Below are 24763 nucleotides of genomic sequence, written 5' to 3'. Positions count from 1 at the left end.
CAAGAGTCCATCCTCTCCCCACCCCTTTTTCTATATGCTTTTTCTTTCTTTCTTCCTTTTTTTTTTCTAAGACGGAGTTTTGCTCTTGTTGCCCAGGCTGGAGTGCAGTGGTGCAATCTTGGCTCACTGCAACCTTCGCCTCCTGGGTTCAAGCGGTTCTCCTGCCTCAGCCTCCCGAGTAGCTGGGATTACAGGCATGCACTACCACACTTGGCTAATTTTGTATTTTTAGTAGAGACAGGGTTTCTCCATGTTGGTCAGGCTGGTCTCAAACTCCTGACCTCAGGTGATCCACCCACCTTGGCCTCCCAAAGTGCTGGGATTACAGGCGTGAGCCACTGTGCCTGGTCTATTATTATTTTTTAATTATTATTTATTATTATTTTTAAATAGAGACAGGATCTCACTATGTTGCCCTGCTGGTCTCAAACTACTGGCCTCAAGCAGTCTTCTAGCCTAGGCCTCCTGAAGTGTTGGGATTACAGGCATGTACCACAGCACCAGCCTTAAACTTTTAAAAATAGTTTTATTAACATGATATAGGCTTCACATATTTAAAATGCATAATTTAATGAGTTTTGACATATGTATATACCCACGAAAAGATCACCACAATCAAGACAATGAACATATATATTATCCCCAAAAGTTTCCTTGTGTCCTTTTGAAATTCATACCCCCTTATTCTCCCAACCTGGACCCCAGGCTGTTACTTTTTACGAAAACATGTTAGTAAATGAGATTTAATGAGAGGAAGTATGGTTTACTACAGTGGGTCTGGCTGGGTGACCTTGCCTGAGTGCTGTAACTTCCCTAATTCATTGTATTCTTAGCTGTAGAATGGAGCTGGTTTATAGGACCTACTTCCAGTGTTGTGGTCGTAGCCAGTAGCAGTTAGTACAGTGTCTAGCACATAATAAGCACTTCATAAATGGTAGCTGTTGTTAATAGTATTTTGTTTTGTGTTATGCTAAAGTACTTGATACATTAGGTAGTTCATCATCATTATGTGCCCAATATGATGCCAAGTACGAGTACTTAGTAGGTACTCAGTTTATATTCATTCCCTCTCCCTTTCCTCATTAATTCTGGATAAGTATACCTCTTGGCATATGTCATTGTTCACTAACCCTAACTCCCAAATTTAAGAACTGATTGAAAGTTGACATTCATTCATTTACTCATCCATTCAACAAATTTTGTTGAGCACATGCTGTGTTTCATTAATCAAACTGAGCACTGAATGATTCCACCTTTCATAAGACATGGGACAAATTCTGTGTACACATAACCAGAATATCCAGAGGAGATGTGTGAATAGGGAGATATGGAAGTTGAGAGGCAGGAGTAAGTGCTTCTAGCTGTGGGACTCAAGAGATGGCCCGAAGGGATAAGGGGGAAGATAATTTAACCTGAGAAATGGGATGAGTACCGTGCAGGGTTCTTGAGCTCAGTCTAGGAGTAGGAAGCAGTCTCCATGTAGGTGGGACACAGCACATGTGGAAGAGGAGCATGAAACGCCCGAGAGAATTGGGGCAGTCCCTGGGCAGCTCACTGCTGGGCTGAGGAGGTGAGACAGACTTTGTCAGGCAGTAGAGAGCCAGTGGAGATTTTGCAGCAGAGGAGACTTAAGTTATACCTTAAGTTGGCTGTTTTTGAGGTGGCTCTTGTGCATGGATTGAGTTGACAGGCAGATAGTTGAGCAATCTGGAGAGCTTTGAATGTCTGAATATTTCTTAGCATCTTAACTAGGTTAGTAGCTCCACGGAAATGCAAAAGATTGGTAACATTGGTGCCTGGTTTGTTGTCAGGGTTGGAACTTTCTTGCTTTTTCTTTTGGACTACTTGTAGAGTGCTTATTATGTCCCAGCCACTCGTAATTCTATCCTCACAGGAATGAAGCATAGGTACAATTATTACACCTGTTTTCCAGATGAGGAAACTAAAGGTTTAAGTGGCTAAGAGAAACCTTTTTGTCCTCCACCTGTGCTGCTCCTTCTCTTCCTGTCCAGGCCTTCTTCCCATTCAGACTCACTCTCTCATTGACCTCTCAGTTTCCCTTCACCAGCATCTCCCCATCTGCCCTCTTTTGTCTGTGTCTACCGGTGTATCCTTTGCTCAGGTCCTCATCTCTTCATATCTTGGCAACTGTTGTGACACTCTCCATGCCATCATTTGGACTCTAGAATTGTTTTATCTAAACATAATTGGGTCATGTCTGTGTGTATGTGTGTGTGCACATGCATGCATGTGTACGTGTGTGTGTGCACGTGTGAGGGCAAAAAGATACCTCCTAGGCCTGGCGTGGTGGCTCACACCTGTAATCCTAGCACTTTGGGAAGCAGATCGCTTCAGCCCAGGAGTTCGACGCCAGCTTGGGCAACATGGTAAAACCCACCCTGTCTCTACAAAAAAAAAAAAAAAGATGCTTCCTCATTGTCTTAGAGTGAAGCATGACACTCAAGGCTCTTAATGTGTTCCCATCTTTATAGATTTAGTTTGTCCCCTGCCCTCAAACACCACATTCCTGTTTGGCTCTGTACCTTTGCTTGGGTGGTTTCTCTACTTGAAATGCCCTTCTTCCTTTTCTCTGCATCATGAGTTTCTCATCATTCTTCAGGAACTCACACAAGTCACTGTGTCTGTGATGCCTTTGGCAACTGGGCTCTTCATTCCTTCTTATCAGGCTATAACATGACCTGTATTTTAACTACTTATCCAGTACCACACCCTTTCAAAGTTGATTTAGTGGCAACTTACAAACATACATAAAGCAGTAAAAAAAGAATTGGATGAGGTATAGAATTACTATACCTAGCCAGTCTAGGAGCAAAATGGACTATTAGACTAGAAAAATAAAATAAAGCCAAGAATAAAGTTAATATAGAAATATGTTCCATCATGTGCTGCACGTTGCTGCAGGTGGCCTCAGCTTTTCCTCTGAACTTCCTAAAGAGAGAAGTATCATGAAATCTTAAGAGTTTTCCCAGTGACAGAAATGACAAAGCCAGGTGCTCTGGAGAAGAATTTTTCCTGAAACGAGATGGGAGGGAAATGTTTCTGGGGTAAGTAGGAAGGTGGAGGTGGTACCAAGTCTGCAGCCTGAACACATACATGGTGAGTTTCATGAGGTGGCTTCCTATGAGAGACCTCCATGCAGCTATATAGCATGGTACCAGAGCACAATTCAGTAAAAGAGCTTTATAAAAGCCAGGACTGTGATGCTGCAACCTTACCACTTTTTGTTGGCCTAGCTTAATCCAAGTATAAAATGTAGAATAACCAAGGGATAATACTCTTCACGCTTTGTTATAGTTATTGTTTTATATCCATTTACGGCCCCCCTTATCTCAGTGATCAGCTTCTCACAGGAAGGGATCATATTCACGTTGGTTTGATTAATGGTAGAAAATCAGAAAGGTAAGGAATGAGGAAAACAATTTATGACTGTGATTTGTCCAGGAATCATCACAGCGCTCCATTTTGAATTATAGGTACTCAGAAAGTGAGATTCAGGCCAGGCACAGTGGCTCACGCCTATAATACCAGCACTTTGGGAGGGCAAGACAGGATGATTGCTTGAGCCCAGGAGTTCAAGATCAATCTGGGCAACATAATGAGACCCTGTCTCTACAAAAAATAAAAAATTAGCTGGATATGGTGGTGCTGTGTGCCTGTGATCCCAGCTGAGAGGTTGAGGTGGGATGATCACTTGACCCTGGGGGGTTGTGGCTGTAGAGAGCTGTGATTATGCCACTGCACCCCAGCCTGGGTAACAGAGCGAGAGCCTGTCTCAGACAAAAAAAAAAAAAAAAAAAAAAAAAAGAAAAATATCAGATTCATGATTCATGTCTGAGAGCCAAGAGCTACAAATAAATGGTCATAAGCTTTCTTTACTATTTCCAGGGACTGACCTGCTTTTAAGGCAGTTTTTAGCAGCAAATACATCAGCTGAGTAGAATGGCAATAGAAAAATGACTGCATCTAGGCCAGTCTACTTCTGGCAGTACTGAAGAGAGCCTTTAAAAAATTGATACATTTAGCAGCACTCAAAGTTTTAAATTTAATTTTCTCTTTTGCATTTGGGAGGAAGAAGATTACCATATTATCATGATTATTAAGTCAGATTCAGAAAGAAGTATGCATTTTCAAGAAAAAAGCAAAAGTGTAGCAAGTTTATTGAATGACTTTAGTTCTCTTAAAACAGCTCTTCTTGCCATTATTTAGGTCAAAATGTGGACTATGATGATATAATACTTTTTTTTCTAACTACTCTTTTGTCTTGCTTTCTTTATACACAAAGGAACTAGACAAAGAACTCCCAGTGCTTAAGCCATATTTTATCACTAACCCTGAAGAAGCTGGAGTGAGGGAAGCTGGCTTAAGAGTCACATGGCTGGGACATGCCACGGTAATGGTGGAAATGGATGAGCTCATATTTCTCACGGATCCCATCTTTAGCTCTCGTGCTTCACCATCGCAGTACATGGGTCCAAAGCGATTTCGTCGTTCCCCGTGCACAATAAGTGAACTCCCTCCAATAGATGCGGTCCTTATCAGTCACAACCACTATGACCATCTGGACTACAATTCTGTCATTGCTTTGAATGAGCGATTTGGTAATGAGTTGAGATGGTTTGTGCCTTTGGGTCTCCTTGACTGGATGCAAAAATGTGGCTGTGAGAATGTGATTGAGTTGGACTGGTGGGAGGAGAATTGTGTCCCCGGACATGATAAGGTCACTTTTGTCTTTACACCTTCCCAGCACTGGTGTAAAAGGACTCTAATGGATGACAACAAGGTGCTATGGGGCAGCTGGTCTGTCTTGGGGCCTTGGAATCGATTTTTTTTCGCAGGAGATACTGGTTATTGCCCTGCTTTTGAAGAGATAGGAAAAAGATTTGGACCTTTTGACCTTGCAGCTATTCCCATCGGAGCTTATGAACCGAGGTATGTAGACTTCCAAAGAAAACATTCCTGCTATGTGATAAATTAACTGAATTTAAAAGTAAAGCAATTATGATTTTTGTGACACTGTAATTTATGATTTTAATGGTGGACTTTGTTATACATGATTGGGGGTTGGTAGGTCAGATTCAATTAGATTTTATTTTTAAATATTTTAAATTAAATATTTTTTAAATTGACAAGTAAAAATTGTGTATATGGTGTGCAACATGATGTTTTGATATATGTATGCATTGTGGAATAACTAAATCAAACTATTTTACATGTGCATTATCTCACATACTTATGTTTTTGTGGTGAGAATTAAAATATTTTAATTATAGTCATATGAGTTAAAAAAATTACTCAAAATCAGGGATGATGTTACCATAAGAAAGGGATCAAGGTTTAAAGAATTACTATACCTAGCCAGAAGTTCACATACCATTCAACTAAACTGGTCAGCCAGTAATAAAACCTACTCTTATTCTTTCACATGGAGAATACTTTCTTTATATAACCACCTTTTGCTCCATAACTTGAGTGCCCCAATCCCCTGTCCTACAGCTCTCCTACGTTTAGCAAAGAGAAAAAGCAAGGAATTGGCCTATAGCATTAGTCCCTGGTGAGGGTTTTATTTCAGTCAGCACTGAAGTTAATCTGGTCATGGTGGTGTTGTACTACTCACCACTCATCCTCCAACCTTGACATACTATTGACCTATTTCAGAGCAGCGAAAGGTCACACTCTCATTGGACACCTAGGAGACTCATCCACTGTCTTTGTTTTCCTTAATATTCTCTGTTTAGGGAAAAGAGAAGTGATTTCAAAGAATTAAGTTAGATTTCAGTCAACTCTGGTTTATATGTGCAAATAAAGAGAAAACAAAACACTAATAGTAACAAAGCAATGGATAATTTTAAAAATATTGTATTCTATAGTGCATGGACAGATACATACAACAACATTTTGTTTAGGTAATTCCATAAGTGGAAGAACAAGTATTTCTCTAATACATAGATGAATTGAATGAATCTAAACTTTTGTTTTCATCTGATTTTGTTATTTGCTAAATTTTTACATTCACTAAAACGATTTTGTCCCTATTTTTATTTACTAATGCTTATTTATCCCTTTTTGTTTTTTGCTAGTTTCCTTATTTGGAGGGGCTAGATATTTTTACCCTTTTTTGGTTCTTGATAATTATTAAAATGATTACAAATCAATATTGGTGCTTGAATTTTACTTTTCTAATTAAATAGTTATAATTCTAATGAAACCTCTCAAAACCTGTCAACTTATATATTTTTAGAACTGTTACAAATCAGTTATGTATTTGTAACATAAAATTGGTCTTTACTCGATGTATGTTCCTTTTTTGGTTGGTTGTTTGAGATGGAGTCTCACTCTGTTGCCCAGGTTGGAGTGCAGTGGCACGATCTCGGCTCACTGCAACCTCCGTCTCTGGGTTCAAGTGATTCTCCTGCCTCAACCTCCCAAGTAGCTGGGACTACAGGCGCCTGCCACCATGCCTGGCTAGTTTTTTTATGTGTGTTTTTAGTAGAGACAGGGTTTCACCATGTTGGCTAGACTGGTTTTGAACTCCTGACCTCAAGTGATCTGCCTGTGTCGGCCTCCCAACGTGGTAGGATTATAGGCGTTAGCCACCATGCCCAGCCTGATGTATGTTCTTAATAGATTAGAACATCTTTTATTTGTTATGAAAATAAGTTTTCATATGTAGTAATATATAAATTTGTCACATATATTTGTGATGATAAAATATGTACAACCAAATTTACTCACATAATCCCCCTTTCCTGCTTGCATTGCAGGCAAACAGGAAACAACTAAGATGGGAAAAAGACAAGGAGGCTATTATTTGCCCTAAGAGAGTTAAATTGTGGTAGCCTCTAATGTGTAGTCTGTTTCTTTGGTTACTGTTAACGGCTTTAGAAATAAGATATTGAATAACACTTGAGAGTGCTCTATAAATTTAAGATGTTTAGACCGAAAACAACTTTCAATAATATGCTTGGAATGTTTCATTCTTACTTTAGGGAATCTCCTGTCACCAGGTATTCTATCCAAGTCAGTTAAGATTTTAAGTTTTTATTTTAATTGTTATATCACAGTAAAAAATTTAAATCTATTTCAGGTGGAAAGGAATATATCTATCCCTTTGATTTGCACTAGGATTTAAAAAAAATCAAGAGAGAAACACCAAAAACCATTTTCATCTTTCCCTGAATCCCAAGAGTCAGGAGATATGGCAGAACAGTGCTGCTCTCATTTGCTGTTGAGGAGAACACAGTGGCTTTGTTTTCAGCCTTCTGTAGGACCCAGCAACTCCTAACAGTAAATATCTGTTGCAGATGGATAAACTTCTCCATGATGTCTTCTGTAAAGTGTGGAAGCTCCTGTGCTGAATCCATGTCTGTTGGTCTTCACTGTAGTGTTAGTTGTCACTGGCAGACTAGGATGTAAATAATGTGAATACAGTGTTGTTTTTCCTCCTTGAAACTGATGGCTTGGAAGGCAAAGGATTTGCTTGTAGACAGTACACTTTCTCCTTTATATCAGGAATAATACGTCTTTCTTCTGAAAGTGTTGGTTTTGTTTACTGTTTTGGGAGAATTCTATGAAAGTAGATGATGTTCTCTATGCTTTCCTAAGCCTTGTCTTGTTTAATCCTCACAATACCCTCACATAATGGGGTAAAATTTATATTTCACAGACAAAGAAATAGCAGCTCAGAGAATTTGAACAGACTTTCCAAAGGCATTCTAAGAACTGCAAGAGCTAGGATTCACACCCAAGCCTTCTGCCTCCTGAGCCCTCGCTCTTCCCAAGGCATTAGGCACCCTTTCATTATTTCCTTAATCATTTACCCATTAGTCTGATCTTCTTGCCAAACCAAACACCTCATTGTTCAGTTTTATGATTAAATAAAATTTCTTGAATAGTAATTGGATATTTGGCTCCTGGTCTTTAAATTTTATGTACTAGTTTTTGTTTATTTTTGCTTTAGCAGGTTTTTACAAATTTGTATCAGCAGGACATACAAATTCTTTTGTAATTGGAGCTTTGGTTTTTATTTCTTTACCAATTATTCAGTTTCTTTGATACATATCCAGGACTGTAAAATATCTACTTTTAAAAGTAACAGTGAGGCAGGACTTATTTCCCAGTCTCAATTGATAAAGTGAAAAAACTGGCAGCTGGGCGCGGTGGCTCACGTCTGTGATCCCAGCACTTTGGGATGTGGAGGCAGGCAGATCACAAGGTCAGGAGATCAGTACCATCCTGGCTAACATGGTGAAACCCTGGTTCTACTAAAAATACAAAAAATTAGCCGGGAGAGGTGGTACGTGCCTATAGTCCCAGCTACCCAGGAGGTTGAAGCAGAAGAATCACTTGAACCCAGGAGGCGGAGGTTGCAGTGAGCTGGGATCGCGGCACTGCACTCTAGCCTGGGCGACAGAGTGAGACTCAATCTCAGAAAAAAAAAAAAAGAAAAAAAGAAAAAACTGGCAAAAACCAGCAGATGGTGACAGAAGTGATCCCTAGCTGCCCTCATTGCTCATTAGCCTAAGACTCTCCCACCATCACCATGACAGTTTATAAATGGCCATGGCAACAACCTAGAAGTTACTGCCCCTTTCCATGGCAATGACCAAGAAGTTACCACCCCATTCCTAGAAAGTTCTAAATAATCTGCCCTTTAATTTGCATTAACCCATTCCCTAATTTACATATAATTAAAAGTGGGTATAAGTGAGTGTAAATACAGTTACCAACCCCTCATATGTTGCCAACTCTGAGTGCACTTACTGCCTATAACTTAGCACTGCTCCTCAAGGAGCAGTATCGTTTAAAAAAAATTGCTGGCCAGCACCACTGGCTTGCCGTTGAATTATATTTCGTTTGTGAGGCCAAAAACCCTCCTGGGCTAAGCCTCAATTTTGGGGCTCGCCTCCCCTGCATCATCAGTAAGTTGTATCTTCAGATAGATCCAGTAAAATCAAAATATACGTGAAACAAAAATCTCACTATTCAGAGGGGAGTTTGCTTGAGACTTACTTATTTTATAGCAATTTGTACAAGAAAGACTTTTGCTTGTTTTATTTTTCAGCAGAAAGTGTACCAAAGGGAGATGGTTTTGCCTCCTGTGACTTAATTCCTGTGCAGAATTTGTTTTGTTTTTACAATCTAGCCTTGACCTGGCCTTCAGACTTGGTTTCTAGCTCATCCTCCCCAAAACTGCATGTTTTATCCCAGTGGTTCTTAATTCTCAACATCCATAGTCCTGCGCAGAATCTTAAAGTTTGGTTAAGTGAAACAGATTTTAGAATTTAGTGTATATCTCAAAGGTCAGAATTAAGAAATTGCCATGTTTCTTCAGGTGGTTTATGAAATACCAGCATGTAGACCCAGAAGAAGCTGTAAGGATTCACACTGATGTCCAAACAAAGAAATCTATGGCAATTCACTGGGGAACTTTTGCCTTAGCAAATGAGGTAAGTTTGATTGCGATAAAAATAACTTTGTGTGTTTGACCAATGATAGGATTCAGGCATCACTGTTCCTTAGTTTTCAGACCCAAGACTCTGGAATCAGATACTGCACAGTCATCACAGTCACTGCATGAATTAGGGTGGTAAATCATACTAATTAGTAGAACAATACACACATATACAGTCAGAAAAAAAAAACAACACAACCTCATTGTGTTTTCTTTTGGCTTATTTCTGAAGTTAGTAAAGCTTGTATTTGTATAACCAAAAATCTGTATGTGGTCTGGAGACTAGAAAAGCAAGCCATCATGTCTCACCCCTCAAGCAGGCTCTCATGCTAGCAGAAGACAGAAGTCATGTATGTGATACAGATGTTAGAAGGGGAAAGTGCTGTAATGTGGAACAGATGAGATGGTCTCAGAATCAGGATGTTTGCTGATGGCAGGGATCAGAGAGGGCGTGATGGAATAAGTGACATTTGAACTTGGCTCTGAGAGGGCAGGGAGGAAGGCATTTTCAGAGGAGGAAAGGGCAGAGCATAGGCTCGGAGGCAGCTAGTGTGGGGAGTACTTGAATCAGTTCAGCAGGAGAGTGGAGGGCAATAGGGAGAAGTAAGGCTAGTGTGGAACTTTCTAGAAATATATTCAGTAAACATTGACTCGGTGTCTGCTATGTGCCAGGCATAGGGATAAATGTGATTTTATTCCTAGATTAAAACAGAAGAGATAATTTTTCCTTAAGGCAGATGGACCCTAGAACTCTGCCACTAGCCTGGGTCCTGGGATCAAGCAGAGGATAGTATAAAGCTTTCTCTCCTTTCCTGGATCCAAGGTCTTCTCTAAACAAAACTTAGAAATGTATGGTTAGGCCCAGTGCAGTGGCTCACACCTGTAATCCCAGCACTTTGGGAGGCTGAGGCAGGTGGATCACTTGAGGTCAGGAGTTCGAGACCAGCCTGGCCAACATGGCGAAACCCCGTCTCTACTAAAAATACAAAATAGCCAGGCGTGGTGGTGCGTGCCTGTAATCCCAGCTACTCGGGAGGCTGAGGCAGGAGAATCGCCTGAACCCAGGAAGTAGAGGTTGCAGTAAGTCGAGATTGTGCCACTATACTCCAGCCTGGGCAAAAGAGTGAGATTTGGCTGGGCACCTGTGGCTCACACCTGTAATCCCAGCACTTTGGGAGTCTGAGGCGGGTGGATCACCTGAGGTCAGGAGTTCGAGACCAGCCTGGCCAACATGATGAAAACCCATCTCTAATAAAATTAGCTGGGCGTGGTGGCAGGCGCCTATAATTCCAGCTACTCGGGAGCCTGAGGCAGGAGAATAACTTGAACCTGGGAGACAGAGGTTGCAGTGAGCCGAGATTACGGCACTTCCTTCCAGCCTGGGTGAAAGAGCGAAACTCTGTCTTGAGAAAAAAAAAAAAAAAAAAAGTGAGACTCTGTCTTAAAAAAAAAAGTGAGACTCTGTCTTTAAAAAAAAAAAAAGTGTGGTTAGGACTTGGCTTCTTTACTTTCTGTGGCATCTTCCACATCCCAGAGCCTCTCTGCAGGAACTCAGTGTTTTCTTGCAGTTTTAGTTACTCCTCTGTCTCACTTATGGCCTGCCCTCTCCCAAAGATGCAGTGTGTTCCAAAATTACCTAATACACTGCCTGCCCATTCCCCCACTCCCTAATCAAAATTCCTGTGCCATGAGGCAGCAACCCTGAGCCACAATGCAGCAATTCTTGGCCACTGTTGGGAGAAGGAATAGAATAATGACTAACCATAGGGTTGTGGGGAGGATAAATGAGAATATAAATGTGGGTGTGTGGGTGCGTATTTGGAGAAGGGAGAAGTTTAAGACTGGTTTTCAGTGACAATTTCTTATTCCATCTATATATGTGTGCGTGTATGCACATATTCCATTATGTATATTCCATATATATGGGACTTAGATGAAGTAATGGTATTTTATTAAACCTATGCAAAGAAAGGAATCAAGGTTGACTCCTAGATTTTTAGCTTCAATAGCTGGTTAGACAGTTGTGCTCTTTACTGAGATGGGGAAGATGAGAGAGGATTAAAAAATCCTGTCTTTGAGAATTATTGTGTTATTCAGCCTTCAAGAATTATTCCTGTTATAAACCTAACCGCCATCTTTATTTCTTAATGAGAATGTTAATAAAAACTCATTTGACTTTCAGCATTTTGGAATTTGTTCATGTTTTGATGTTGAATAAACCTCATAACTATGAGTTAGTTGAATTATAAAGCAGATATAATCTTCAGAGAGGATATGTTACCCTTTACTTCTTTTTTTTTTTATTATACTTTAAGTTCTGGGATACATGTGCAGAACATACAGGTTTGTTACATAGGTATACACGTGCCATGGTGGTTTGCTGCACCCATCAACCCTTCATCTACATTAGGTATTTCTCCTAATGCTATCCCTCCCGTAGCCCCCCACCCCCTGACAGGCCCCAATGTGTGATGTTCCCCTCTCTGTGTCCATGTGTTCTCATTGTTCAACTCCCACTTATGAGTGAGAACATGCGGTGTTTGGTTTTCTGTTCTTGTGTTAGTTTGCTGAGAATGATGGTTTCCAGCTTCATCCATGTCCCTGCAAAGGACATGAACTCATCCTTTTCTATGGCTGCATAGTATTCCATGGTGTATATGTGCCACATTTTCTTTATCCAGTCTATCATTGATGGGCATTTGGGTTGGTTCCAAGTCTTAGCTATTGTGAACAGTGCCTCAATAAACACACGTGTGCATGAGTCTTTATAGTAGAATGATTTATAATCCTCTGGGTATATACCCAGTGATGGGATTGCTGCGTCAAATGGTATTTCTGGTTCCAGATCCTTGAGGAATCGCCACAGTGTCTTCCACAGTGGTTGAACTAATTTACACTCCCACCAACAGTGTAAAAGCATTCCTATTTCTCCACATCCACTCCAGCATCTGTTTCCTGACTTTTTAATGATCACCATTCTAACTGGCATAAGATGGTATCTCAATATGGTTTTGATTTGCATTTCTCTAATGACCAGTGATGATGAGTTTTTTTTTTCATATGTTTGTTGGCTGCATAAATGTCTTCTTTTGAGAAGTGTCTGTTCATATCCTTTGCCCACTTTTTGATGGGGTTGTTTGTTTTTTTCTTGTAAATTAAGTTCTTTGTAGATTTTTGTTATTAGCCCTTTGTCAGATGGATAGATTGCAAAAATTTTCTCCCATTCTGTAGGCTGCCTGTTCATTCTGCTGATAATTTTTTTTGCTGTGCAGAAGCTCTTTAGTTTAATTAGATCCCATTGTCTATTTGGCTTTTGTTGCCATTGCTTTTGGTATTTTAGTCATGAAGTCTTTGCCCATGCCCATGTCCTGAATGGTATTGCCTGGGTTTTCTTCTAGGGTTTTTATGGTTTTAGGTCTTATGTTTAAGTCTTTAATCCATCTTGAGTTAATTTTTGTATAAGGTGTAAGGAAGGGATCCAGTTGCAGCTTTCTGCTTATGGCTAGCCAGTTTTCTGAACACCATTTATTAAATAGGGAATCCTTTCCCCATTGCTTGTATTTGTCAGGTTTGTCAAAGATCAGATGGTTGTAGATGTGTGGTGTTACTTCTGAGGCCTCTGTTCTGTTCCATTGGTCTATATATCTGTTTTGGTACCAGTACCATGCTGTTTTGATTACTGTAACCTTGTAGTATAGCTTGAAGTCAGGTAGCATGATGCCTCCAGCTTTGTTCTTTTTGCTTAGGATTGTCTTGGCTATGTGGGCTCTTTTTTTGTTCCATATGAAATTTAAAGTAGTTTTTTCCAGTTCTGTGAAGAAAGTCAATGGTAGCTTGATGGGGGTAGCATTGACTCTATAAATTACTTTGGGCAGTATGAGCATTTTCACAATATTGATTCTTCCTATCCATGAGCATGGAATGTTTTTCCATTTGTTTGTGTCCTCTCTTATTTCCTTGAGCAGTGGTTTGTAGTTTTTCCTGAAGAGGTCCTTCACATCCCTTGTAAGTTGTATTCCTAGGTATTTTATTCTCTTTGTAGCAATTGAGAATGGGAGTTCACTCATGATTTGACTCTTTGCCTGTTATTGGTCTTCTGCTCGCTTTTGAGTTTGCTTGTGATTTTTAATTCTGTATAGGAATGCTGTGATACATTGATTTTTGTATCCTGAGATTTTGCTGAAGTTGCTTATCAGCTTAAGGAGATTTTGGGTTGAGATGATGGGTTTCTCTAAATATACAATCATGTCATCTGCAAACAGAGACAATCTGACTTCCTCTTTTCCTAATTGAATACCCTTTATTTCTTTCTCTTGCCTGATTGCCCTGGCCAGAACTTCGAATGCTATGTTGAATAGGAGTGGTGAGAGAGGGCATCCTTGTCTTGTGCTGGTTTTCAAAGGGAATGCTTCCAGTTTTTGCCCATTTAGTAGGATATTGGCTGTGGGTTTGTCATAAATAGCTCTTATTATTTTGAGATATGTTCCATTAATACCTAGTTTATTGAATAACTTGAAGGGTTGTTGAATTTTGTCGAAGGCCTTTTCTGCTTCTATTGAGACAATCATGTGGTTTTTGTCATTGGTTCTGTTTATGTGATGGATTACATTTATTGAGTTGCGTATGTTGAACCAGCCTTGCATCCCAGGTATGAAGCTGACTTGATCATGGTGAATAAGCTTTATGATGTGCTGCTGGGTTCAGTTTGCCATTATTGAGGATTTTCGCATCGATGTTCATCAGGGATATTGGCCTGAAATTTTCTCTTTTTTGTTGTGTCTCTGCCAGGTTTTGGAATCTCTGCCAGGTTTTGGTATCAGGATGATGGTGGCCTCATAAAACGAGTTAGGGAGGATTCCCTCTTTTTCTATTGTTTGGAATAGTTTTAGAAGGAATGGTACCAGCTCCTCTTTGTACCTCTGGTAGAATTTGGCTGTGAATCCGTCTGGTCCTGGACTTTTTTTGGTTGGTAGGCTATTAATTGCGTCCTCAATTTCACAACTTGTTATTGGCCTATTCAGGAATTTGACTTCTTCCTGGTTTAGTCTTAGGATGGTGTATGTGTCCAGGAATTTATCCATTTCTTCTAGATTTTCCACTTTATTTGCGTAGAGGTGTTGATAGTATTCTTTGATGGTAGTTTGTATTTCTGTGGGATCAGTGGTGATATCTCCTTTATCATTTTTTATTGCGTCAATTTGATTCTTCTCTCTTTTGTTCTTTATTAGTCTGGCTAATGAATCCAGCTCCTGGATTCATTGATTTTTTTTGAAGGATTTTTCGCGTCTCTGTCTCCTTCAGTTCTGCTCTGATCTTAGTTATTTCTTGTCTTCTGCTCGCTTTTGAGTTTGTTTGCTCTTGCTTCTCTAGTTTAGTTGTGATGTTAGGGTGTTGATTTTAGATCTTTCCCGCTTTCTCTTGTGGGCATTTAATGCTATAAATTTCCTCTACACACTGCTTTAAATGTGTCCCAGAGATTCTGGTACATTGTGTCTTTGTCCTCATTGGTTTCAAACAACATCTTTATTTCTGCCTTAATTTTGTTATTTACCCATAGTCATTCAGGAGCAGGTTGTTCAGAAGCAGGTTTTTCAGTTTCCATGCAGTTGTGTGGTTTTGAGTGAGTTTCTTAATCCTGAGTTCTAATTTGATTGCATGTGGTCTGAGAGACTGTTATGATTTCCTTTCTTTTGCATTTGTTGAGGAGTGTTTTACTTCCAATTATGTGGTGAGTTTTAGAATAAGTGCGATGTGTTTCTGAGAAGAATGTATATTCTGTTGATTTGGGGGTGGAGAGTTCTGTAGATGTCTGTTAGGTCTGCTTGGTCCAGAGCTGAGTTCAGTTCCTTGATATCCTTGTTAATTTTCTGTCTCGTTGATCTGTCTAATATTGACAATGTGGTGTTAAAGTCTTCCACTATTATTGTGTGGGAGTCTAAGTCTCTTTGTAGGTCTCTAAGAACTTGCTTTATGAATCTGGGTGCTCCTGTATTGGGTGCATATATATTTAGGATAGTTAGCTCTTGTTGCATTGATTCCTTTACCATTATGTAATGCCCTTCTTTGTCTCTTTTTGATCCTTGTTGGTTTAAAATCTGTTTTATCAGAGACTAGGATTACAACCCCTGCTTTTTTTTGCTTTCCATTTGCTTGGTAAGTATTCCTCCATCCCTTTATTTTGAGCCTATGTGTGTCTTTGCACATGAGTTGGGTCTTCTGAATACAGCACACTGATGGGTCTTGACTCTTTATCCAGTTTACCAGTCTGTGTCTTTTAATTGGGGCATTAACCCATTTACATTTAAGGTTAATATTGTTATGTGTGAATATGATCCTGTCATTATGATGTTAGCTGGTTATTTTGCTTGTTGGTTAATGCAGTTTATTCATAGTGTTGATGGTCTTTGCAATTTGGTATGTTTTTGCAGTGGCTTATACTGGTTGTTCCTTTCCATGTTTAGTGCTTCCTTCAGGAGCTCTTGTAAGGCAGGCCTGGTGGTGACAAAAATCTCTCAGCATTTGCTTGTCTGTAAAGGATTTTATTTCACCTTCGCTTTGAAGCTTAGTTTGGCTGCATATGAAATTCTGGGTTGAAAATTCTTTTAAGAATGTTGAGCTGGGCGTGGTGGCTCACGCCTGTAATCCCAGCACTTTTGGAGGCTGAGGCGGGCAGATCATGAGGTCAGGAGTTCGAGACCAGCCTGACCAACATGGTGAAACCCCGTCTCTACTAAAAATGCAAAAATTAACTGGGTGTTGTGGCGCACGCCTGTGATCCCAACTACTCAGGAGGCTGAGGCTGGAAAACTGCTTGAACCCGGGAGGTGGAGGTTGCAGTGAGCTGAGACTGCACCACTGCACTCCAACCTGGGTGACAGAGCAAGACTCCATCTCAAAAAAAAAAAAAAAAAAAAAAAAAAGAATGTTGAATATTGGCCCCTACTCTCTTCTGGGCTTGTAGGGTTTCTGCTGAGAGATCTGGTGTTAGTCTGATGGGCTTCCCTTTATGGGTAACTTAGTCTGATGGGCTTCCCTTTATGGGTAACCTGAAGTTTCTCTCTGGTTGCCCTTTACATTTTTTCCTTCATTTCACCCTTGATGAATCTGACGATTATGTGTCTTGAGGTTGCTCTTCTTGAGGAGTATCTTTGTGGTGTTCTCTGTATTTCCTGAATTTGAATGTTGGCCTGTCTTGCTAGGTTGGGGAAGTTCTCCTGGATAATATTCTGAAGAGTGTTTTCCAACTTGGTTTCATTCTCCCCATCACTTTCAGGTACACCAATCGTGTAGATTTGGTCTTTTCACATAGTCACATATTTCTTGGAGTCTTTGTTCATTTCTTGTCACTCTTTTTTCTCTAATCTTGTCTTCTCGCTTTAATTCATTGAGTTGATCTTCAATCTCTGATATCCTTTCTTCTGCTTGATCGATTCGGCTATTGATACTGTGTATGCTTAATGAAGTTCTCTTACTGTGTTTTTCAGCTCCATCAGGTCATTTATGTTCTTCTCTAAACTGTTTTTTCTAGTTAGCAATTTGTCTAACCTTTTTTCAAGGTTCTTAGCTTCCTTGCATTGGGTTAGAATACGCTCCTTTAGCTCGGAGGGGTTTGTTATTACCCACCTTCTAAAGCCTGCTTCTGTCAATTCATCAAACTCATTCTGTGTCCAGTTTTCTTCCCTTGCTGGTGAGGAGTTGTGATCCTTTGGAGGAGAGGAAGTGTTATGGTTTTTGGAGTTTTCAGCCTTTTTGTGCTGGTTTCTCCCCATCTTTGTGGATTTATCTACCTTTGGTCTTTGATGTTGGTGACCTTCAGGTGGGCTCTATGAGTGGACGTCCTTTTTGTTGATGCTGATACTATTCCTTTCTGTTAGTTAGTTTTCCTTCTTACAGGCCCCTCTGCTGCAGGTCTGCTGGAGTTTGCTGGAGGTCCACTCCAGACCCTGTTTGCCTGGGTATCAACATCGGAGGCTGCAGAACAGCAAAGATTACTGCCTGTTTCTTCCTCTGCAAGCTTTGTCCCAGAAGGGCACCCGTCAGATGCCAGCCAGAGGTCTCCTGTATGAGATGTCTGTCGGCCCCTACTGGGAGGTGTCTCCCAGCCAGGATACACAGGGGTCAGGGACCCACTTGAGGAGGCAGTCTGTCCCTTATCAGAGCTCGAACGCTGTGCTGGGAGAACCAGTGCTCTTTTCAGAGCTGTCAGGCAGGGACGTTTAAGTCTGCTGAAACTGCGCCCACAGCACCCCTTCCCCCAGTTGCTCTGTCCCAGGGAGATGGGAGTTTTATTTATAAGCCCCTGACTGGGGTGCTGCCTTTTTTTTTTAGAGATGCCCTGCCCAGAGAGGAGAAGTCTAGAGAGGCAGTCTGGCTGCAGCGGCCTTGCTGAGCTGCAGTGGGCTCTGCTCACTTTGAACTTCCCAGTGGCTTTGTTTACACTGTGAGGGGAAAACTGCCTACTCAAGCTTCAGCAGTGGCGGACGCCCCTCCCCCTACCAAGCTCAAGCATCCCAGGTCAGGGTCAGACTGCTGTGCTGGCAGCGAAAATTTCAATCCTGTGGATCTTAGCTTGCTGGGCTTTGTGGGGGTGGGCCCCGCTGAGCCAGACCACTTGGCTCCATGGCTTCAGCCCCCTTTCCAGGGGAGTGAACGGTTTTGTTTTGCTGGCATTACAGGTGCCACTGGGGTATGAAAAAAAAAAAAAGCTCCCGCAGCTAGTTTGGTGTCTGCCCAAATTGCCGCCCAGTTTTGTGCTTGAAACCCAGGGCCCTGGTGGGGCAGGCACCGGAGGTAATCTCCTGGTCTGCCTGTTACGAACACTATTGGAAAAGTGCAGTATCTGGGCTGGAGTGCACTGTTCCTCCCCGTACAGTCTCTCATGGCTTCCCTTGGGTAGGGGAGAGAATTCCCCAACCCCTTGTTCTTCCTGGATGAGGCAATGCCCCACCCTCCTTTGGCTCACCCTCCGTGGGCTGCACCCACTGTCTAACCAGCCCTAATGAGATGGACCAGGTACCTCAGTTGGAAATGCAGAAATCACCCACCTTCTGTGTAGACCTCACTGGGAGCTGCAGACCAGAGCTGTTCCTCTTCAGCCTTTTTTTTTTTTTTTTTTTTTTTTTGAGACGGAGTCTCATTCTGTTGCTCAGGCTGGAGTGCAGTGGCACGATCTCGGCGCGCTGCAACCTCCGTCTCCTGGGTTCAAGCAATTCTCCTGCCTCAGCCTCCCAAGTAGCTGGGATTACAGGTGCCGGCCACTATGCCTGGCTAATTTTTGTATTTTTAGTAGAGACAGGGTTTTGCCATGTTGGCCAGGCTGGTCTCAAACTCCTGACCTCAGGTGATCCGTCCGCTTCAGCCTTAACTGGCGTGAGCCACTGCACCCAGCCAGTTACCCATGACTTCTAAACACTTTAACACTCTTTGCATATATGCTGTTATAGTAGCTGCCTCGTGTAATATAAGCAGATTAAGGATGTCCTTAACTTGGCAATACTCTAAAATTGCATATATGGCAACATCTAATTTATCTAGGGAATGATGAGTGCATTTCCTACATATATTTAAGCACTAAAACTTAAATTACTAGTTTTGATGGAAACGAGTTTCAAGCATTACATAATATGTACATTGCCTTTCAAGTGATCCGGGTCTTTACTTTGAATATATTCTATTGTTGTATATCATGAAACTGACCCCTTTAGGAATTTACGAGTTGTGTGTGGCTAGCTGCCTAGACCCTAATGGATCCAGAATGCTCGGAGTCTTCTGCTTTTCCCATTTACTCATATTGATCTCTGATCTGCTGTTTTGCTTTATATGTAGTTGTTTTGTCCCATGGTTATGGGGCATTTTTATCTCCCTTCTGGACTAAAGTGCTTGGACTGTGAGCTCTCAGTCACTCAGAAGCCTTTCAGACCTACCTCCAGGGTTATCTTCCAGATGGTTGAAACAGCGAAGAATTGGTCTGTGAAGAAACTCAGAAAGATACTGCTAAATCTAGGCAGATTAAAGACAGAGGGTCTACTGCCAACTCTAACATATCAGAATTCTCACTAAACGCAAACATCGCCCTCCACACTAAAGTTATAGCTTAGCAAATAAGTTACTGACGTAGGGTGATTCTGTGAGTGTGTACTGTTAGCCCAGACTTGTACAGCATGGGAGAAAGAGAATTTAACAAAAGAAGTTATTTTTCAATGGGAAAAAAGCTCATCATTTTGAAATCTCTTAAAATAATTTAGGAAATTATTTCAGGGGAAATTTCTTGACTTAGGGTATAAAGTTAAATTTTATTTGTAATATAATTAGTGATCTTTTTTCTTTATATATAAAATAGACTAAAAGTAAATTCCTGTTATCAACTATCCATTACTAAGGGGTTAGCTCTAGGAATATTGGATAACCAGCATACAGTTAAAACCAAACTTACTCAGTAGTCAGTTGAAAGGTATCCTTTATCTTTAAACATAGCCATAAAACCTGGAACTGAGCAAGGGGGAAAAGGATGACCTGTGTGTGGCCAACAACTGTTACCAAACCTGTGCATTTAAGGGCTCAGGAAACTTGCCTGGTTTTCCTTGCACATCATTGGCTGTCCCTTATTCTCTGTTGCTAGTCCCTCCTCTCCGCTTGCTCTGAACAGTGCGTGCCGTAGAAGTCAGTCCACGGACCTCTTCTCTTCTGTAGTTGGTTTCTCCCTTGGGAATCGCATCCAGTCTTATGGCTTCAAATACCACCTACCTGCTGTTCCTCTCTAGCTCAGATGTTTTTCTTCTATAATCCACATTTATATATCCAACTGTCTCCTTCACATCTCCACTTGGATATCCATTAGGTACCTAGAACTAAAGTCTGAAATTAAACTTTCTCATCTTCCCTCAAGCTTACTTTTCAAACATCTCAGTAAAGGGTGACTCCCATTTAGCAATTCCTCAGGGCAAAATCTTGACTCCTCTTTGCCACACAGAGCTCAACCTTCATATTCTCTGGGATCCTCTTTCATTCTGTAGACTGTGGTTTCTGTATGTGACTAGACTTTTTGAGGATAACAACCCTTCTTCAGCAAAACAATTTGCTCTAGCATTTGGTTACACACACACACACACCACAATTTGATTTCTATATTTTTCAAAAATGTTAGTAACATGTAATTCTCTAATAACATCATCTTTGGCACTGATTCCATCTAGATTGGAATTTCATATGGTGAAACCGTGATGATTTCATGCAATCCAGTGATGTTCAAAGTAAGATGGCACCAAATTTCACATACATGGTGTTGGCATGATTTCTATCCAACCAAATACCTGTTGACTTAATTCATGACTCAAAACTGTATTAGAAAATGTGATAGACCCATTTGCTAATGCTTCAATTAAAAGAAAGGGCCTAATTCTAACTAGGCATCTGTTGGTTATTTTAGTTTGAACTGTTATTTGGAAAATCTCCCAAATATATGTTTAATCTTTTTCTATTTTTCTTCTTTCTCTTTGGCCAGCATTACTTAGAGCCTCCAGTGAAGCTGAATGAAGCTCTAGAGAGATACGGACTTAACGCTGAAGATTTTTTTGTCTTGAAGCATGGAGAATCAAGATACCTAAATAATGATGATGAAAACTTTTAATAAATGTGAGCACAGGCACTTTTAATGAAAAAGGCATCATCTAAGTTTAAAAACAAATGAAAAGACTTAGAAATTCATGAATATTGTGATTATTTTACATTTGGAAACAACTTCTGCAAGTTTATGTTTTATGTTTTGTGTAATAACTTGCTTCCTAGTATGATCAGCTCATGTACACTATGAGAGGGTTCAGGGGTGGGTCATTTAAATAATGAATTGGCTAATGTGGATTTTAAATTTCATATCATGATATAAGCACTGCAATGGAAATGTTTTTACTAAAACATTATATTTTTGTGGTACTAGAATTTCCTGAGGTGAAAAACCGATATTGAAGATTCATTTTTCTTTTTTCCATTCTTCAGGACCTTCGGCAAGGTGAGTCAAGGCTCTCTACCTACCTAGATGTTTTTCAGAGGCCTACAAATACAAGTATCTTTCTTATATGCACATTCTAATAAATGATGAAATTCAGTCCAACATGCTTATTATAAACATAGCAATTCTTGCTCTATCAAATTAGCTTATATGCCAAATATTAAATATGGTTTATTTAGGTAAGCATAAAAACATAGGGGCTATCATTTTTAAAGACTTGATTTTCTCTATTGTGGTAAAATATATAAATACATATTTGCCATTTTAAACATTTACCATTTTAACCATTTTTAAGTGTACAGTTCTTTCGCATTAATGCACCCATGACCACCATTCACTTAAATTTTTAAAAGAACAGTATATTCTTTTTTTCCTAGAGCCTTCAGATGAGAGGGAACAGTATATTCTATTGCACGTCTACAATTCCCAAAAGACCTCTTACTTTGGGAGGCCAAGGTGGGTGGGTCACTTGAACCCAGGAGTTTGACATCAACCTGGGCAACATGGTGACCTCCCGTCTCTCTCGGAAAAAAAAAAAGAAAAAAGAAAAAGCCGGGTGAGGTGGTGTGTACCTGTAGTCACAGGTACTTGGGAGGCTGAGGTGGGAGGATCACTTGAGCCCAGGAGATAGAGGCTGCAGTGAGCTGTGATCGTACCACTGCACTCCAGCCTGGGCGACAAAATGAGACCCTGTCTCAAAAGAAAGCCCTCTCCTTAGCTGAGCAGAGGAAGGGAAGGAGTGTGGCTATGAGAATATGATTTATGCCATTTTCTGTTTTTAAATCTAGAAGATCTTCTAAGCACAAATACAGCTACAATGAAATATTTTACAGACAAAATGTTAATAGACCATATTCTTTGAATTAAATTTGTTTTTAATTTTCTCTACACATTTTTTTTTTCCTGGAGTCTCTTAGCTCTAAATATATCAATCAGATTTATAATTTTTTTTACCTGATTCAGATGTCTTACATTTTTATATTAAATGAACCTTAAGCATGATTCTTTTGGTAAGCCAGTATGAATGCCAGTGGTTGGGGGGCGGGGGGGGAGTCAGTTGACATAAGATTTAGTCCTAATAAGGACTCTGTATTCACTTGATTATTCTGACCCTTCCTAAGGGAGGGAGGTGGATTAGATACCACTGGAGGCCCATTCTGTATTCCTAATCCAGTCTCAGCACTTTATTCATACAAAATAATCAAAATAGGTTTTCTACACCAAATGCTACCCAGGCAGTGCTCTATAATTTATTTGCACACCTGTATGTGTGGTGCCACGTTAGCCACTAAATCTGAACTTTTACCCTGCTTTCATCATGGATTTTTTTGTGTAACCTGAAACAAGTCACCAGTGCTCACTGTGCCTGTTTCCTCATTTGCAACAAGAGGATAATTCCGACCTACCTCTGAAAAATGTGTAGATTAAATGAGTTTTTAAAGCACTTTAGAAAATATAAGGGAGAAAATGATTTCTTAAGATATCACTGCCTAATATAGACAGGTATATTTGAAAGCTAAATACAGGTTAATGCTTTTGATAATGTATTGTTCCTGTTGCAAATTTAAGCATTATATATTAGGAGACTAAACATTGAAAACTTTCACTGATTTTTAAATTGGAGTAATAGCCTAAATAAGTGTAAATAATCTTTATCAAAATTTAGTGTTTATCTACAAAGATGCGAATCAGTCAAGGGGAAATGTGTATGCAATGTGTGTGTATATGATGTATGCGAACATATGTGATTTTGGGGTACTAAAGCACAAAAAAATCCCCCATAAAATAAACCTTCCTGAAAAGACTGATCATAAACTTTTTCACTCCAAGCAGATGTGAATCAAGATGTTAGGTTTATGGTGAGTTAGCTTTGAGGTGTGTTGCCCTAATACTAGCCAGCGTTGTTGTAGCCATATTCCCTGCTGCTGCACGCCGAATTGAAAATCCATCTCTTACCTCTTCTCTATGAAGCAAGCCAGGTATGTCTTGCTTAAGTATTTCTTCTCCATGAATGGCCTTAACATTATTTTGTATTCACGTGTACTGTTTAACTGAGGGTCTCAAAGCACTTTAAACTGTTGTGTTCTATTTCCACTCGTCTGGCCTGCCTCATTTTTCTAGGCCCTTTTGTAAGCTGTAATTTTTTATTACCACTCATGTTCTTTCTACACTGACACTATTCATTAAGAACATCAAGCTTCATCTCTGCTTACAGAATCTCACCTTATTGAGTGGGTTCCACTTTATTTTTCATTTGTTATCTACATTTTGAAGGGTTTATGTGCAAAGTGAAAACAAATTTTGAAAAATAAGACAAATCCATTCTCTTCTTCAATTCAGTCTAATATGCATTGTAGTGTCTTTTAATCAGTCTTATCCTCTAAGTCAACTTCATTTTCCTCTTCGTGAATACCCATAGCAATATGTAAGATTTTATTGAAGTTTCCTGTGATAACTGAGGAATACTTTGCTATGCCTCACTGCCCAATAGGGTGGGTCATCAATTAGGAGAAATCCCAAATTATAAAAGCCAACATATGCCGTGACCTACGTAGGAAAAGATGTATTTGTGCATCTTCTTTCTGGGTAGTTAAAAATTACTCCCTCTTTTCTCTAGCATTTTGACATTTCAGACTCAATGCTCTGATCTCTAGGGAGTGTGATTATTCAAACTAATGAGAGGACAAGAAGACACAGTTTTAGAATCTACTGCTGCTAAAGCACATTAAAAACAAATCCTGGTTTTTAATGTATGCATAGTTTCATATTTAATGAATATGCTTTCATTAAATAGGGAGGTAGATTTGAAAAAACCGTTATAAAGAAATGTGCCTTTTGGGGAATGAATACTTTTGTTCATGTCTAGCCCACTGGGAATTTTGTTTTCACCTTATACTGAGTCCTTTTTCTAATGTAAAAATATTTCTTCCAAGTTTGATTTCTGTATCAGGGTAACATTGAGAACACACATATTTCTGTTTGAGGATTTGTGACTTCCTATGGAAACAGTCTTGCATCTATGTATTTACAAATGAAATTTAAAGTATTCTTAAAGCTTTGCCTTAAATACTGCTTGCATACTGATTTACTTAATGCTAAGCATGGCAGGGGTTATAAATTTAAATACTATAAGACCTGGCTGAATCCCAGATGTATCAATAAATTGTTATAGTAGCTTATGGAAAATGCTATTAAAGATAAATTTTCATACATTGTATTTTTAGTCAAGTAAAATATGGATGAAAATTAATAAAGTACTGTCAAGGGAAAAAATATGTATAACCTTG

General features: G+C 39.9%; 1 protein-coding gene across 37 annotated transcripts in view, besides 1 other annotated feature; it reads left to right on the top strand.

Annotated features, from left to right (window-relative positions):
- NAPEPLD (N-acyl phosphatidylethanolamine phospholipase D) overlaps positions 1–24751 on the top strand; it is a 50226-nt gene extending 25475 nt beyond the window's left edge. For 11 of the 37 annotated variants that reach the window (NM_001386176.1, NM_001386177.1, NM_001386213.1 and 8 more), the window contains 3 exons: positions 4304–4950; positions 9353–9467; positions 20973–24751. In NM_001386176.1, the coding sequence (NP_001373105.1) occupies positions 4304–4950; positions 9353–9467; positions 20973–21098 (888 nt within the window). In that variant the 3' untranslated portion in view covers positions 21099–24751. The other 26 variants (NR_169880.1, NR_170069.1, NR_170076.1 and 23 more) reach the window with 16 other exon arrangements.
- Positions 17944–18813: an enhancer, noted in NCBI's record as "H3K27ac-H3K4me1 hESC enhancer chr7:102746161-102747030 (GRCh37/hg19 assembly coordinates)". NCBI's record gives its function as "activates a minimal SCP1, AML or CMV promoter by ChIP-STARR-seq in primed H9 embryonic stem cells {active_cell/tissue: H9 hESC(primed)}" and the evidence as "EXISTENCE:reporter gene assay evidence [ECO:0000049][PMID:30033119]".

Source organism: Homo sapiens, chromosome 7 (genome assembly GCF_000001405.40).
Source record: "Homo sapiens chromosome 7, GRCh38.p14 Primary Assembly".
NCBI lineage: Eukaryota > Metazoa > Chordata > Mammalia > Primates > Hominidae > Homo > Homo sapiens.
The sequence above is the reverse complement of the archived record's forward strand: the minus strand, read 5'-3'. Positions and strand labels throughout refer to the sequence as shown.